This window comes from Homo sapiens, chromosome 5, assembly GCF_000001405.40.
Source record: "Homo sapiens chromosome 5, GRCh38.p14 Primary Assembly".
In the NCBI taxonomy this organism is placed as follows: Eukaryota; Metazoa; Chordata; class Mammalia; order Primates; family Hominidae; genus Homo; species Homo sapiens.
This window is the reverse complement of record NC_000005.10, coordinates 172,491,907-172,508,616: the sequence shown is the minus strand read 5'-3', so window position 1 is coordinate 172,508,616 and position 16,710 is coordinate 172,491,907. Positions and strand designations below refer to the sequence as shown.

General features: G+C 50.0%; 1 long non-coding RNA gene and 1 other non-coding gene across 3 annotated transcripts in view; both read right to left on the bottom strand.

The window, feature by feature from the left end:
* The window catches only part of LOC105377727 (uncharacterized), a 57,398-nt gene that overhangs the window by 27,832 nt on the left and 12,856 nt on the right, over positions 1–16,710 (bottom strand). The gene's annotated exons all lie outside the window — the stretch shown is intronic.
* Positions 907–15,573, bottom strand: LOC107984004 (uncharacterized). Its single transcript, XR_941226.2, has 3 exons — positions 14,879–15,573; positions 11,918–11,989; positions 907–1,105 (listed from the first exon to the last, which is right to left on the bottom strand). It is a non-coding gene; the product is annotated as an uncharacterized LOC107984004 (transcript).

Below are 16,710 nucleotides of genomic sequence, written 5' to 3'. Positions count from 1 at the left end.
GACTGAGCCACTCTCTCTCATGTTTGCCCTTTCAAAGGGAGACTCCAGGGAGAGAAGGAAGGGGCGTTGGGAGACCTCTGGCTCAGAAGACTTCAGACTGGGCCATTTCCCACTCTCAGTCCTCAGGGCCCCCTCCAATCCTGCCTCTTTGGAGAAGGAATGAAGCCCTGGGTGTGGACAGTGCCATCCAGGAAGGGCTCCACTGGGCAAGGACCTTCCCACTGTTGTTTTCCCCAAGTTCATTCCTGTATTAGTTTCCTAGGTCTGCCATGAAAAGTTACCACAAACTCGGTGGCTTGAAACAACAGAAATTTATTTTCTCATAGTTCTGGAGGTCAGAACTCCAAAACTGAGGTGTCAGCAGGACCAGGCTCCCTCTGGAGGCTCTGAGGCCGTCTCAACCCAGGCCTCTCTCCCAGCCTCTGGTGGCTGCCAGCAATCCTTGGTTTTCTTGGCTTGTAGCTGCGTCCCTCCAATCTCTGCCCCCATCTTCACATCACCTTCTCTCTTTGTGTCTGTCTTCTCCTCTGTGTATCTCTTTTAAAGACACTTGTCACTGGATTCAGGGTTAACTGGACAATCCAGGATAATCTCATCTCAAGATCCTTAACTTAAATACATTGACAAAGATGCCTTTCTCTCTCTCTCTTTTTTTTTTTTTTTTTTTTTTTTTTTTTTTTTTTTTTTTTTTTGAGACGGAGTCTCGCTCTGTCGCCCAGGCTGGGGTGCAGTGGCGCGACCTCGGCTCACTGCAACCTCTGCCTCCCAGGTTCAAGTTATTCTCCTTCCTCAGGCTCCCGAGTAGATGGGGTTACAGGCACCCACCACCACACCCAGATACTTTTTGTATTTTTAGTAGAGATGGGATTTCGCCATGTTGGCCAGGCTGGTCTTGAACTCCTGACTTCAGGTGATCCACTGGCCTTGGCCTCGCAAAGTGCTGGGATTACAGGTGTGAGCCACTGTGCCCGGCCCAAAGATGCCTTTTTCAAGTAAGGTTTCATTAGCAGGTTCCAAGGACATATCTTCTGGGGCGGCCACCATTCAACCTACTGCAAGCCCCTTCCAGTTTCTCCAGAAGATGTAATGGGTCTAATTTCACCATCTGGAGAGAAGACAAACCTGTTATGTGTCAGGTACTTTTACGTTCACTATCTCAAATCTTCTTCCTATTCCCTCTTTCCAGATGAGGAAATAGAGGATCAGAGATGTTAAGTAACTTGTCCAAGGCCACACAGCTAAAAAGTAACACCAGGGCATGACACGCCAGGTCTACCTGTGTCATACAAAGGAGTCCCTTCTGGATCTTCCTTGTCACACACCAGGGCTCAAGACAAATTCTACAATATCACATGGGACAGGTTAAGATACTTTCTTAGAGAGAGGGGGCACTCATATGAGCCAATGGTCAGTGAAAAGTGAGAAGACAGGGAGCCCCTCAAACCTCCCATCAGTCCCCAGAGAGGAGTGGCAGGGCCAGGGCACTGAGGCAGAGGTCAGATTGTTGGTGTCGAGAGAGCAGAGGGAGAGAGTTGGGCAAAGCCCTCCTGGTGAAGGGCCTGGTGGGGAGTTGGCATTTTCTCAGGATTTGGTAGCCAGCCATTGCAGGGTTGAGAGCTGACAAGTGAGGAGATCTCCTATACCTTATTTATTTATTTATTTTACTTTTTTTTTTTTTGGATGAAGTCTCGCTCTGTCACCCAGGCTAGAGTGCAGTGGCACGATCTCGATTCACTGCAACCTCCACCTCCTGAGCTCAAGCGATTCTCCTGCCTCAGCCTCCTGAGTCGCTGGGATTACACGCACGTGCCACCATGCCTGGTAATTTTTTCTATTTTTAGTAGAGACAGGGTTTCACCATGTTAGCCAAGCTGGTGTCGAACTGCTGACCTCAAGTGATCCACCTGCCTCGGCTTCCCAAAGTCCTGGGATTACAGGCGTGAGCTGCCGTGCCTGACCCCCATACCTTTTAAAAGCTCACCGTGTGAGGAAATATTAGACAAGCCGAGATGGAGGGAAGTGCTGTAAAATCATTGGACTGTATTCAAAATGCCAAGGTTGTGACAGGTGAAGACAGATGAAGGTACTGCTCCCAGGTAAAGGAGACTGAAGAGGCAGGAGGACAGAAGGTGATGTGTGAGCCAGACGCTCCTTCTGGGAGACAGGCAGCAGTGAACAGGGCTGCAGGTCTGCTACCTAGACCGTGTCACAAGCGCTGCTTTTGATCACCGTGCTGCAGTCATGTGAGTGTCTTTGTGTGTCGAAATGTCCCACTAGAGTATTTAGGGGTAAAGGGGCATCATGTTTGCAACTGACTCTAATGTTCTAGAAAAAATACATCTGTAGATAGAAAGAGACAAGCAAATGCAGGGAGTAGAGGGAAGGCTGTGTGGGAAGGCTTTGTACTATTGCCATTTTTCTGTAAGTCTAGGATTTCTGTTAAAAATTAAAAGAAAAAGGTGAGGCTTCTGTGTGGAGAGCTGACTGTAGAAGGGGCGAGAGTGAGAGCAGGGAGCGTGGGGAGGGGTCTGAGCAGCAGAGAGCCAGGAGCATTGGGGGTGGGGGTGGACCGTTGCGGCGGCAGTGGAGGTGGGGATGGGTGAGATGGGAGATACATGCTGATGATGGAGCCATCAGGACCTCCTGGTGGGTTGGACTTGGGGGCTTGGGGGAAAGACAATAATCAAGATCTTTTAACCGGGTGCAACAAAAATAGAAAGGGTGAATAAGACCTACTATTTGATAGCACAATAGAGTGACTATAGCCGTAGTAACTTAATTGTACATTTTAGAATAAGTTAGAGTGTAATTGAATTGTAACTCAAAGGATAAATGCTTGAGGGGATGGATACCCCATTCCCCATGACGTGGTTATTTCACATCGCATGCCTGTATCAAAACATCTCCTGTACCCCATCAACATATATATATCTACTATGTACTCACACACACACAAAAAAGATCTTACAGCTGAATGGAGGTCCTTTCCCAAAATGGGAAGGGCTGGGGGTGGGGGTGCCATTTAGGGTAATATCAAGAATCTGTGACCAGCAATGGCAAGGGTGTCTGGTTTCAAATGCCGACTCCAGAGCCGATGTCATGGAACAGTGTTTAATGCTGTGGAAGAGGACAAGCCCATCTAGGGAGTCGATGCAGGGTAAACAAGAGACGATGGAGTCGCCCATATTTAAAGTCTCTTAAGAGAAGAAACGGGTTCATTTTAAGCCCTAGGGGTGAGTGATTTACAATGATGATTTATTAAGTGCTTCCAGGGTACCAGGCACTGAGCAAGGCATTTTCGATTTAATATCTTTTCCTCTTCTCCCAATAGCCTTGTGAGATGAGCATCATTATCCCATTTAAAACATGATGTTACTAAGGCTCAGAGAGGTGAAGTAACTTGCCCAAGGTCACACAGCCAGCAAGCAGCAGAGCTGGGCTTTGAACCACATCCATCCCCTGCTAGAGAACCGGCCTGGGAGTTCCTGTTTTCCATCATGTCTTGCTCTGTTTCCCCATAGGACTGAGGTCTCACTTCTTTGAAAGGAAGCCACACAGCTGTTTTTTCCTGACAGCTGTGAGGCTACTTTCCAAGGGAGGGAGTCTTTTGTTGCCAATCCAGCCCCTTCCAGGAAAGAGTCCCTGAACTGCAGGATTCCACCCACCCTTGCTCCTCTGACATACAAAACTAGACCTGGCCGCTCCCAGGGCAAGCCCTTTGGCTCCCTGCATTTTCTGTTTCTCCTCCTCTGAAAACAGCTCCCAAGAGGGTGAGGCCCAGCATCCTGGGGCCCTGGTCCATTCTGTGGATGGATGCAAATTTGCACTCCTATACTTGTGTCATGTTGTTAACAGAGATCAATAGCAATGGCTATGAGTCATTGAGAACCTACTGCGTGTCAGGCTTTCTCTGTACATCAAGTCTAATTTCCCCAGGACCAGGTAAAATTGATATTCTCATCCTCACTTTCAATACAGGGAGCCTGTGGCTCAGAGGGTTGAGGGGGCCTATCTGAGGTCACAAGGCTGGGAAGAGTAGCTAAGCCAGCATTCAGCCCACAGCACAGAGCTGCCCTACTCGTGCTCAGTAATGACTTCTTCAATGGACTCAAGCTTTCTGGAGGTTCTGACCACAAAGCTCCATCCAGCTTCTGAGCTTCAGGGTCATGAACACAAGCCAAGCCAAAAGGCAAAAAAAGGTTTTGCTCCCCTGGCTCCAGCCCCTGCTCTAGGCCCTGACTTTCCAATATCCATGCCTTCTGCCTGCTCTCTGTGTTCTAGCACGGCCTCACCCCGCCACACCCAGCCCAGCCCAAGCCAGACTTGGTCTGCAAAACACTCTGTTTCTCATCCCACCTTGCGTCTGCTTCTCCTCTGGGCAGCCCCAGCCTGGAAGGAGGAAGAAGTGGGCGGTAGGGGCTGGGTGCAGCTGGGCCAGAAGAACAAAGAGAACTCCTTCTCAGAGGGCTGGAAGGCTCGGCAGCCTTGCTGCTTTGGGCCCAGACGCATTCCTTTGCACACTGCACAGCCCAGGAGAACAGGCCCGTTATGTCCAATTCCACAGCTGGGTACAGAGAGTCCACCACATCAGTCAGGGCTGTCTAACTGCTGTGGTGAACGGCCCCTCATCTCGGTGGCTTAGCATGATAAAGGGTGTTTACCTTTTGATTTTGTTTGCCCTTGTGCATGATGTCTGGTAATTACTTTACAATACTCCAGCAAACAATTTAAAATGGGGTCAGAGGCCAGGCGCGGTGGCTCACGCCTGTAATCCCAGCACTTTGGGAGGCCAAGGTGGGAGGATCATAAGGTCAAGAGATCGAGACCATCCTGGCCAACATGGTGAAACCCTGTCTCTACTAAAACTACAAAAATTAGCTGGGCGTGGTGGTGCGTGCCTGTAATCCCAGCTACTCGGGAGGCTGAGACAGGAGAATCGCTTGAACCCGGGAGGCGGAGGTTGCAGTGAGCCGAGATGGCACCACTGCACTCCAGCCTGGTGACAGAAAGAGACTCTGTCAAAAAACAAAACAAAACAGAAAAAAGAGTGCGGGGGGTGGTGGGGGTAGTTGAGTGGTGTATTAAAGAAGACTTGGAAAAATGTTGATAATTTCTGGAAACGGAATGATAGATGGCTAGGATGAGTTATTATAGTGTGCTCTCTGCTTCTTTTGTATATTTGAAGCCTTTACGTATGTTTATTTCTCCCTCATACAAAGTCTAATGCTGTGTTCCTGGCTTGTGGCTCTCATGGGTGGTTTTCCTCCAACGGTTGCCCTGAGACACAGGCCGCTTCTATCTTGAGGATCCTCTACCATCCTGTGGCCCCAAGGTTGTCCTGGTGTCATCCAAACAGCCAACTGGGAGAAGAAAGAGAAGATGGCATAGCCACTACTTAACCCCTCATCCTGACAGCACCTGGATCCCTCTGCTCACACTGCATTGCTGAAAACTAGTCATGTGGGAAGCAAGGAGTACTGGGAAATGTAGTTCTCGGCTGAACAGGCACCTACCAGCCAGCGCCACAACCAGACAGATGGTGTAAGGGGAACTTGACCTCTGTTGGTCAGTTGATCTTCTCAGCTACATCCACTGTGTGTTGGATGGGGCCATGTCAAGGGTGGTGCCCTAGGGAAGTGGCCTGGGCTCCTGTGAGAAGATGGCAAAGGGATTGGTAGGGGGTTGATAGGATGAACTTGTGAGTTGCGTATACCAGGCTTCCCAAACTTGTTCCATGATACACCTATGAAACAGTCTTGGCTCACAGAGAGAGGGAGGGTGATGGGGAAGGAGGCAACTCTCACCAGAGCTCTCTGGGCATTTCTCCTTCAACATACTGGTGCCCACCCCCCCCCACCACCTCCTCCTCAAAAGCGGCAAAGGAATCATTTTACAAAATGTGACCATTGGGGCGAAATAGGCACAAAGCACAAGCAGTCTCTCTGAGTCATTTCTTATGACTGTGAATCTGCAATTATCTCAAAATTTTTCAACACAAAAGTAGGGGAGTGGCCGGGCACGATGGCTCATGCCTGTAATCCCAGCACTTTAGGAGGTCGAGGCGGGCGAATCATGAGGTCAGGAGTTCAAGACCATCCTGGCCAACATGGAGATACCCCGTCTCTACTAAAAATACAAAAAAATTAGCTGGGTGTGATGGTGGGCACCTGTAATTCCAGTTATTCAAGAGGCTGAGGCAGGAGAATCGCTTGAACCCGGGAAGCAGAGGTTGCAGTGAGCCAAGATCACGCCACTGCACTCCAGCCTGGCCGACAGTGCAAGACTCTGTCTCACACACACACACACACACACAAAATAAGTTGGGGGGAGTGGCACAAACAAGACCCTGGAAGACCCCAAGGCACTGGAGAGTGCCCTAGGATGAACAAAGGGCCTCTTTCTCCAGTCCCCACCCTTCCTCCCAGGTCCCCCAGGGTGGTCGCTTCAAAGTCCAGATCGGCCTGACTACTCCGCTGCCCTGCTTAATTCTGTGGCTTACAAGATGGTGTCCAGTCTCTGTCACAATGCCTCATGGTCTGACTCTTCCCAAACCATCTCTCCATCCATAACCTCTTCCCTCTGCATGTGCACCCCATCAATCACTCCAAGCCCTAGCTGTTATCCAAACCCACTGTGCTTTCTTCCCCTTGGTCCTTACCACGTGCTGTCCCTTTCAGCCCCACTCCACACGTGGAAAATGCCCATACATGTTCCGAGACTCCCCTGCCCTGCAATGTCACCTCCTCTGGGCTCTAGGCTCTATGTTCATCTTCAATCCCAGCATTCAGTTGTCTACCTCAGTTTGTGGGTCTTTCTCTCTTGCTAGACTGTAAGCTCTTTGGGTGCAGACACTGTGACCCACTCATTTTGATGTCCGTAGTTCTCAGCATAAGGCCTGGGAAGGACTAGTTCTCACTAAAATGTTAATGACTGGCTATATGGAGAAATGAATGAATGAATGAATTAATTAATTAATCCGTGAGGGAATGGGGAAGATAGCACTATGTCTTCTGCTTGTCTAGTAGGGTTGTTGGCAAGTTTAAATGGTCCTCAGAGGGGATCCTGGGATCACTCTCAGCTGCTGCACCACGCTCCCATCCCACCACCTACCCACGCTTCACTTAACCCGCCAGATCCTTCTAGAGCCTGGCCAGGCATTGTAGTGTAGTGGGAAGACAAGGAGACCTGCAACTGGACAGCCATGGCCTCAGAGCCTGACTCTGCCAATTCCTAGCTGTGTGTTCTTACACACCCTAGCTCAAGTTTCTGGGCCTCAGTTTCCTTCTCTGTGAAATGGACACAATCACTGCTCCTCCCAGAGTTGATATGAGGATTACAGGAGGAGTGTATGTAGGAACACCCAGTACAGCTCAACGAATATTTGTTCCCATCCGAAAAAGCCCCTCCCCTTGCCCATTAGCGACCCTTCTTACCTTTCAAATCTTTGATGAATGAATGGTGAGCACTGCACAGCCCATGACTGTTAGTCCGGGATCCCCAGGTGGATCATTAAAGCCTTGAAAGCAAGGGCCTGTGGGGACTATTTCCTCAGTCACCCAGAGGACCCAGCTCAGCAGAAAGCATGTATTGGGTTCAAGCGGGAAATCAAAGCATCATTATGATCATCTTGCCCTTTCCTCGAGAAACACCCTGGAGGGTCACTGTGGCAAGATGACCAGCTCCCATTTTTAAGCACCTACTATGTGCTTTGCATTTTACATTTATTTTTACATTTAAGCTTAACTATACAACAATTTGAAGGAGGTACTCTCATTATCATCATTTTTAAAACTATTAATATTTATTTTCTACTACATAATTTAATAACGTTTCAAAAATTAAAGGAACACAGTGAGAAGTCTCATCCTGCTCCTATTCTCCTCGTTTAAAGAATCATTTTTATTAGTTTCTAGTGTATTCCCCGAGAGTCTGTTTATGTAAATACCAGAACATATTCTTAAATCCCCCTTTTCTGGCTGGGCGTGGTTGCTGACATCTATAATCCCAGCACTTTGGGAGGCAGAGGCAGGAGGATCGCTTGAGCCCAGGAGTTTGAGGCCAGCCTGGGTGACACAGTGAGACCTTGTTGCTACAAAAAATTTAAAAATCAGCCAGGCATGGTGGTGCACACCTGTAATCCCAACTGTTTAGGGGTCTGAGGTGAGAGGATTGCTTGAGCCCAAGAGGTCGAGGCTACAGTGACCTATGATCATGCCACTGCACTCCAGCCTGGGCAACAGAGCAAGACCCTGCCTCAAAAAAAAAAAGTTCCCCCTTTACTTATACAAAAGGGAAACACTGTCCTACACTTTGCACTTTCCCTCTACATTTTATCTTAAAGGTCTTTCTATATCAATACATAGAGAATCTCTTGACTTTGCCCCACTGTCTGGAGGTAATTTTAGGCTGTAGGAACCAAAGCTCAGAGAGGCAAAGCTACTTGCTCAAGGTCACACAGACAGGAAGTAAAAAGAAGGACTTACTCCCAGGTCCCCAGGTCCTGCCCTTCTCTCTCTCTCTCTCTCTCTCTCTGTCTCTCTCTCTCTCTGTGTCTCTGTAGAAACAGGGTCTCATTCTGTCACCCAGGCTGGAGTGCAGTGGCATGATCATAGCTCACTATAACCTTGAACTCCTGGCTTCAAGTGATCCTCCCGCCTCAGTTTCCCCAGTAGCCAGGACTATAATAGGCATATGCCACCACACCCAGCTACTTTTTTAAAATCTTTTTTTGTGGAGACAAAGTTTTGCTGTCTCCCAGGCTGGTCTTGAACTTCTGGGCTCAAGAGATCCTCCTACGTTGGCCTCCTGAAGTGCTGGAATTATAAGCATGAGCCACGGCGCCCAGCCCTCCCCTCCTCTTTTCTTTTCACACCTAGAGAAGCTTCCCCAAGTCTCTCTGGAAAACACAGTGCACACAAGAGTACATTTTGAAAAGGGGCTGCTTCACTCATCAGCTTCCCTGGCTAAGAAAGCTGGCTCTGGGCACCTGGAAATACCTGAAGAAGCTGAAAAGACCTGGATCCCAGCATCAGCTAGGTGATCTGTAATGCTGGTCCTAGAGAGGCTGCCTGGGTTCCAGTCCAGGCCCTGCCACTGAGTGGCATATGACACTGGCCATGAGACCAAATTTCTCTGAGCCTCAGCTTCACCATCTGTAAAATGGGAATGACTGTTGTATTCGTCAGGGTTTTCCAGAGAAATAGAGCTGATAGGAGGTAATGGATAGAAATGTAGACTTATTTTAAGGAATTGGCTCATGTGGTTGTGGGGGCTGGTAAGTCCAAAATCCGTAGGGTGGCCCAGCAGGCTGGAAACTCAGAGAGGATTTCCTTACTACAGTTGAGGGAAAATTGTTCCTTCTTCGGGAAACCTTGGTGTTTGCTCTTAAGGCCTTCACCTGACTAGGTGAGGCCTACTCACATTATCAAGGGTAATATTTTTTACTTAAAGTCAACTGATTATAGATGCTAATCAGGTCTCACTCTGTCACCCAGCCTGGAGTCCAGTGGCATGATGATAGCTCACTATAGTCTCAAACTCCTGGCTTCACAGCAATATCTAGACTAGCAGTGGACCAAACCACTGGGCGCAGTAGACTAACCAAGGTGACAAAACCATCACAGCAGTCATACCCCACAGGAAAGTGGTGAGAAGAGGGTTGGGCACAGCATGGAAACAGATGCAGTCAATGCAATTGAGTGCTAGCTGCCATATTGTTCACTGCGCTACCGTGGGGTGTTTCTGTGTTTGAGGAGGCATGAGAGCAGTTACACAGGGTGCCCTGAGCCAGGCCCTGGAGGGACAGAGGTGATGAGGTCAGGGTATGAGCCCCTGAAGAGCTCAGAGGAGGGGCTGAGAGGGACAGAAACGCAGAAACTCAGACCACAGTCTGTGGCAACACTGAGAGAATGCCTCTGACTGGACAGCACGCAGAAGCCTGTGGAACCCCAGCCAGTAAGAAGTGAGCGAGGGACGGCTTCTCAGAGAAGGGTACAAAAATGACTTGTTTTAAATTATTTTAAAAATAAATAAAGCAGGCAGGGGCACAGTGGCTCATGCCTGTAATCCCAGCACTTTGGGAAGCCAAGGCGGGCGGATCACGAGATCAGATCGAGACCATCCTGGCTAATACAGTGAAACCCGTCTCTACTAAAAAAAATACAAAAAATTAGCCAGGCATGGTGGCGCATGCCTGTAATCCCAGCTACCCGGGAGGCTGAGGCAGGAGAATCGCTTGAACCTGGGAGGCAGAGGTTGCAGTGAGCCAAGACTGCACCACTGCACTCCAGCCTGGGTGATGGAGCGAGCCTCTGTCTCAATAAATAAATAAATAAAGCAGAATTAGCCAAGTGAAGAAAGAAGAAAGGGCAAAAGAATAGAGGAACATTCCAGGCAGACCAGCAAGCACTAAGCCTTGGAGGTGTGAGAGAGGCAGGGAACTGGCGTGATGGGGGGCCAAGTGCTGCGGCTAGAGAGGGCTGAGGGACCCGGTCACTCCGGCGTGGTGGGCCAGGCCGAGGAGTCGGCCTTCCTCTCCACAGTAACACAGCTTGCACAAGCACTCACTATGTGCTAGGCACGACACTGAATAGGCCTCACAGGAATTGCTGATTTTCACCCCTGCTCTCATAGGAGGTAGGTGCTATTAGCATCCCTGTCGGGTCATTGCAAAGCCACGCAAAGCTAGAAGTGGTGGGCTGAGATTCAAGTCCACACCACTGGCTCCAGAGATGAGGGGGGTGACAGGGGGCTGGGGGTGAACATGGGGATGCTGGGATGGCTGGGCAGGGTTTAGATTGCTTTGTTGAATTTCAGGCAATGGGAACAACCGAGGTAGAGGGGTCAGTAGCACTTGGAGACGCGAATGCTGGAGACACAAATTCAGACCCACCATCAGCAGCAGAAGTTGGCCATGCTCTCAGCAATGCTCACCCAGCACGTACCAGCCTAAATCCTCCCCAAATCCCTGCAGAAGGGGTATAATCATTTTCATTCCAAGATGAAGAGACTGAGGCTCTCACCCAAGCCACCCCTGGCTATAAAGGAGGCTGGGAATACAGAGGGCCCCAGGCTGTCTGCATCACCACCCTGAGTAGAATCAGGGTTCTGTAGGCAAGGATGACTTGGGAAATGGGTATCGGGTTGGAAATTGACAGCATCTGCTCCATGGAGGCTCAGAGAGGTCAGATATTAGCCCAAGTGACACAGCTGATACATTTCTACCGGGGTTTAAACTCTGTCCAATGTTGTCTGTGCACCCCTTCCCCGGACTCAGCTGCCTTCCAGGAACTGATCTGCTCAGCATTGCACTAAAGCCAACCATTCACTCACGCATCCCGGCTCTTTCATTCCTTCACCCCCAGCACTGCCTGCCAGCACTGGGCTCCGGCCATCTGCCCTTGATTCTATGAGCACTTCCTGCCATGGGCTGTCCTGCTACAACGGCTCTAAAGCTCCCTTGGCCACAGTCCATGCATGCCCAAAACTCTGATTCCTGTTTTTATCTGTCATTCTTTCCAGGTTCTCTGTTCTCCAACCCTTCCTCCCCCACCCCTTCTTTCCCTAGAGGCTTCCTCAGCCCCAAAGACCACAGAGAATGAATGACATCATCTGAGCTCAGACCTCGCTGGGCCCAATTATCAGGCTATAAGTGGAAGCGCCCTACATTTTCCCACAGGAAAGTGCCCTCCCACACTCCCGACTTGCTGCTCCTGGGGACCTTGGCAGAGTCCACAGGCTCTGGCCTGAAGAAAACCGAGCCCCTTCCCCATGGGCACACTGTTCAGGTCTCTTTTCTATCCACTGGGCTTTGGAGACATTCTCAAGCTCCCAACCTGGGCATGAGGCAGCTTTCTGTAGAAGGGAGGCAGTACCATGGGATCATTAAATCAGCCGCGTGGAAGCCTTTTGGACCTACCTACACTGGCGTCCAGCTCCTCCTTTTTCCACCTCTGTGACCTTGGCCAAGTGGCTTCAGGGTTCTGGGATTCTATTGTCTCATTTTAAATTGGAGAAAATAACAGATATCATATCATTAAATCCTTTTAACAGTCCTCTGAGGTACACATATTATTCCCATCTTAAGATGAGTAACTGTATTAGTCTGTTCTCACGCTGCTAATAAAGACATACCCGAGAATGGGTAATTTATAAAGGAAAAAGGTTTAATTGACTCACGCTCCACATGGCTGGGGAGGCCTCACAATCATGGTGGAGGGCGAATGAGGAGCAGTCACATCTTACATGGTGGCAGGCAAGAGAGCATGTGCAGGGGAACTCCCCTTTATAAAACCATCTGATCTTATGAGACTTATTCAGTATCACTAGAACAACACAGGAAAGACCCACCCTCGTGATTCAATTACCCCTCATCAGGTCTCTCCCATGACACATAGGAATTATGGGAGCTACAGTTCAAAATGAGATTTGGATGGAGACACAGCCAAACCATATCACTAACCAAGGACAAAGAGTTAGACAACTGTACAAAGCCACAGTTTGTCAATGGTGGCACCAGGGCCTGGATTAGAACCCCTGATATCAGGAGATTTCTGAACTGCCGAGGAGTGTCTGGAAGCTCATTCACTGGTGAAGGTGGGAGGGTGAGGGGGGAAGGTTCTTAGCTTCCAGACTTGGCTTGGGGCAGAGGGCAAGTTACTTTCTTGGGGACTCAGCTTTTCCAGCTGTAAAATGGGGATGACAGTCCTTGCTTCAGAGCTGCCGTGAAGACCTCAGGAGGTAAGGCTTCCTGGATCTCCACCATTCCTGCATTGCAGGCCAGTTTTCAGCTCCCCTGTGTTATTCACTGATGACTTTTTCTTCTTTAAATAGACTAAGATTTATTATTCAAATATATGTATTGAAATGAAATTCCCTATCACTACCATAAAAAGAAGACCAGGCACATTCACTGTAAATAACAGGTAACCATGAAAATAAATACAGTGAAGCCAAAAGTCGGGCTTTCCAGCTGCAAAAGAGTGTTAAACGGGTGTTTAAAGACCTGATTTCACTGACCTGCTGACCTGACCTGCCCTGGGTCCCCTTCCCACCCCTTCCTGACTCCTGGTTGGTGCTCAGAAATGGAAATGTTAGCTCCCCTCTTCCACCCCAGTCCCTCCCAGAACAGGCTACTCACGGGAAGAAGCTGGCCTTCCTCCTCCAAAGGGCAGAGCAACCACAGCAACAAGCAACAACCTCCAATTACACTCAGATGCCATCCCTACCATCACTTACCGCCTTGAAAGAGGGCTGAGGTTTACTGCTGACCATAACTAAACGTGGCATGTGGCGTGGCAGACCATGGCACGTTGTCCCCAGCAACTGTCCTGAGCTTTCTGACACTGGAGCTAAATGGCTCTCATGGGTGCTGGGAACCTGCTGTGCTCTAAAACATCTTTGGCTCCCCACTGCCTGGAGGAACAAATCCACCTCAGCCCTCCAACTGTATCCTCATTGTCCTCGGGGTATATTCTCAAGACTCCTTCCCCTAAATCTGAACCTTCCCTTGACTATCTTGTAGGCTGAATGCCCTTAGGCGAAGCACTCAAACTCTCTGAGTCCCAGAGCTCCAGGAGGGCAAGATCCCCTATTTCATTGGCTCCTCCAGAGGCCCTAAGAAGAGAACGTCCCTAGGCAGCAGTGCCTTGCTTTCCATGGGGCTGTGATCCCTCTGGCAATGTTAGCACGTGGTTTTCCAGTCTGCACTGGCTTCCCCAGCTGGGCCCTCTCTGCTCACAGTGCTTGTCCTCTACTGCCTGTGACCTCCCTCATGCTTGGCTCTCAGCTTAGGGTCACCTCCTCCAGGAAGTCCTTCCTGACTTCAGACTGGCTCATGTCCCTGTTACTGCTCCAAAAACAAGTGTCCCCTTCAGAACACCACTTTGATTATCTAAACTGCAGTCCCTGCTCCTAAGCTCCATGTAGCCCAGAGCTATGTCACTTCTGTTGCTCCTCTGGCCCCAGCACCTCTTCCAGAGCCTGGCACAGGATCAGAGCCCAAAAATGGATCCTGTCATTAGAATGTTGGTACTCATCAGCCTGGGGGAAACAGGTGGTGTGTCCACCTCTCTATCTTACTCCTGTTGTCTGGATGGTGCATGTCCTTCTCCTTCTTTGTTTTTTTTTTTCCTTTGGTTTTTTTTTTTTTTTTGAGACAGAGTCTCACTCATGTCGCCCAGGATGGAGTGCAGTGGTGCGATTTCGGCTCACTGCAACCTCCGCCTCCCAGGTTCAACCAATTCTCCTGCCTCAGCCTCCCAAGTAACTGGGATTACAGGCACCCGCCGCCAGGCCCGGATAACTTTTGTATTTTTAGTAGATACCATTTTTAGTTTCGCCATGTTGGCCAGGCTGGTGTCAAACTCCTGATCTCAGGTGATCCACCCGCCTTGGCCTCCTAAAGTGCTGGGATTTCAGGCGTGAGCCACTGCACCCAGCCCTTCTCCTTTTTCTCTGCCAGTACACACCCCTATCCCATCTTGTCCCATTTACAAACCTTTTTTCTTTGGATCCTCACAGCCTCCCTGTGAGGCAGCAAAGCAGATTTCCATTGGATTTTAGACACAGAAACTGAGGTCCAAGGAGCAAACATGACTTGCCTGAGCTCCCAAATCTAAGAAGTGTCCAGACCTTGAAGCAAACTAGAACCCCTATTTTGAAACTCAGCCCTGAGTTCAGCTTTGAGCTCCTGGGCTCAAGTGATCCTCCCACCTCAGCCTCAGAGTAGCTGGGATTACAGACTTCAGCCACAATAGCAGCCTAACATCTAGTTCTAAATGGCTCCAACTTCATTCTCACTTTAAAGAATCCCCTTTTCCATTCTCACGGGTGCTCATCTAGTAAGGAGTCAAGAAGGTGCTAGAATGCAATTTCTCACCAGAGACTCCCTGGTCAGCAGGGCTCGTAGTTCCCTATTACAGGCTGATAGTGCTAATGGCTTCACAGGTTGTCCAAGGTTCCTGGAAGACCCAGAAGCCAGAAGAAGGGAAGGGGCGGGGGTATAGCTCAGGGGTAGAGCATCGGACTGCAGAAGAAGGGAAGCTGGAGACGCAAGCATCCATGGATAAAGCTGGAGACGCAAGCATCCGTGGATAAAGCTGGAGACGCAAGCATCCGTGGATAAAGCTGGAGACGCAAGCATCCGTGGATAAAGCTGGAGACGCAAGCATCCGTGGATAAAGCTGGAGACGCAAGCATCCGTGGATAAAGCTGGAGACGCAAGCATCTGTGGATAAAGCACACCACTGCCTCTTCAGGGAGGGGTTGAGAGGCTCGTGGTCTGGAGGGGGTCCCAGCTGCAGACATGTGAGAGTCCTCAAAGACCTGCCCTGGGCTAAGAGCATTGTCTCAACATCTGGCTCCGGTCTGCTCCGCTTCCAGCTGTGTGGACTTGAGTAAGCCTGGCCTGGCTGAGCCTCAGTTTTCTCATCTGTCATGTAGGATGACAGTATGTGTGCCTCCTCCCAGGGCTGTGGAGGGGCATACGGTAAACAAGATCATGTGCATATCTCTCAGGCCAGGCACAGGGCATCACACTGAAGGAATGACAGGAGGCCAGGCGCGATGGCTCATGCCTGTAATCCCAGCACTTTAGGAGGCCAAGGCAGGTGGATCACCTGAGGTCGGGTGTTTGAGACCATCCTGGCCAACAGGGTGAACCCCCATCTCTACTAAAAATACAAAAATTAGCTGGGCATGGTGGCGTGCACCTGTAATCCCTGCTACTGCTACTCGGGAGGCTGAGGCAGGAGAATCGCTTGAACCCAGGAGGTGGAGGTTGTTGCAGTGAGCTGAGATTGCACCACTGCACTCCAGTCTGGGCGATAGAGCGAAACTCAGTCTCAAAAAAATAAAAGAGAAAGAAATGACAGGGATGAGGCAGAGAGCGGTGGCAGCAGCTCTTCAGGTGTGTGAAGACAGACTTGTGGGCCCCTCACCCTTTCCTTCCACAGGCTGGGAGTCCTCGTTCCTCCAGTGGTTCTTCAGGAGGGAAGGAGACCAGGAAATCTGGAATGATCTGACCTGGAAGGGAAGGAGGCCATCTCGGGCACTCTGCGGCCTCAGCATCTCATATTCCTCCCAAAGTCTCTTTCCTTACTGTGGCCTCCAAGGGCCCCCACCTCTGGTCCCAAGCCCCAATCTAACCCCATCTCCTACCACTCTTCATGCCCTACACCAGACCAGCCTCCTTGCCGCACTTCGAACACACCAAGCAGCCTCCAGTCTCCGGGCCTTTGCACTTGCTGTGATCCTGCCTAGAATGTTCTTCCTGGACCTTTAAAGTTCAGTCCCTTGCTTCGTTTAGGCCTCAGCTCAAATGTCACCTCTTCAGAGAGGCCCTTCCTGGCCACCCCATCTAAACTAGCAGCCCGTCCCTGCTACGGGGGTTTTTCTGCCCACTGTCCCCAACCCCAGGCTGCACAGCAGTCAGGTAAGTTGACAGACCCCATTGCGGGGATGACCTGTGACAGGCCTAGCCACTTACAGTGCCCATGGCCCTGCATGCCATCTCGTCTCTTATCTTCTCTTTTCCCTCAGCCCATCCGTTAGCACTTATCCTTCCCTAAAATTATTTCATGCATCTATTTACATGCTTGTTAATTGTCTGTTACCTCAGAAATAAAATATAAGCCCCACAAGGGCAAAAGCTGTGCTTTGTTCACTGCGGTACCCACAGCACACAGAGCAGCAGTGGATGCCCAACAAATA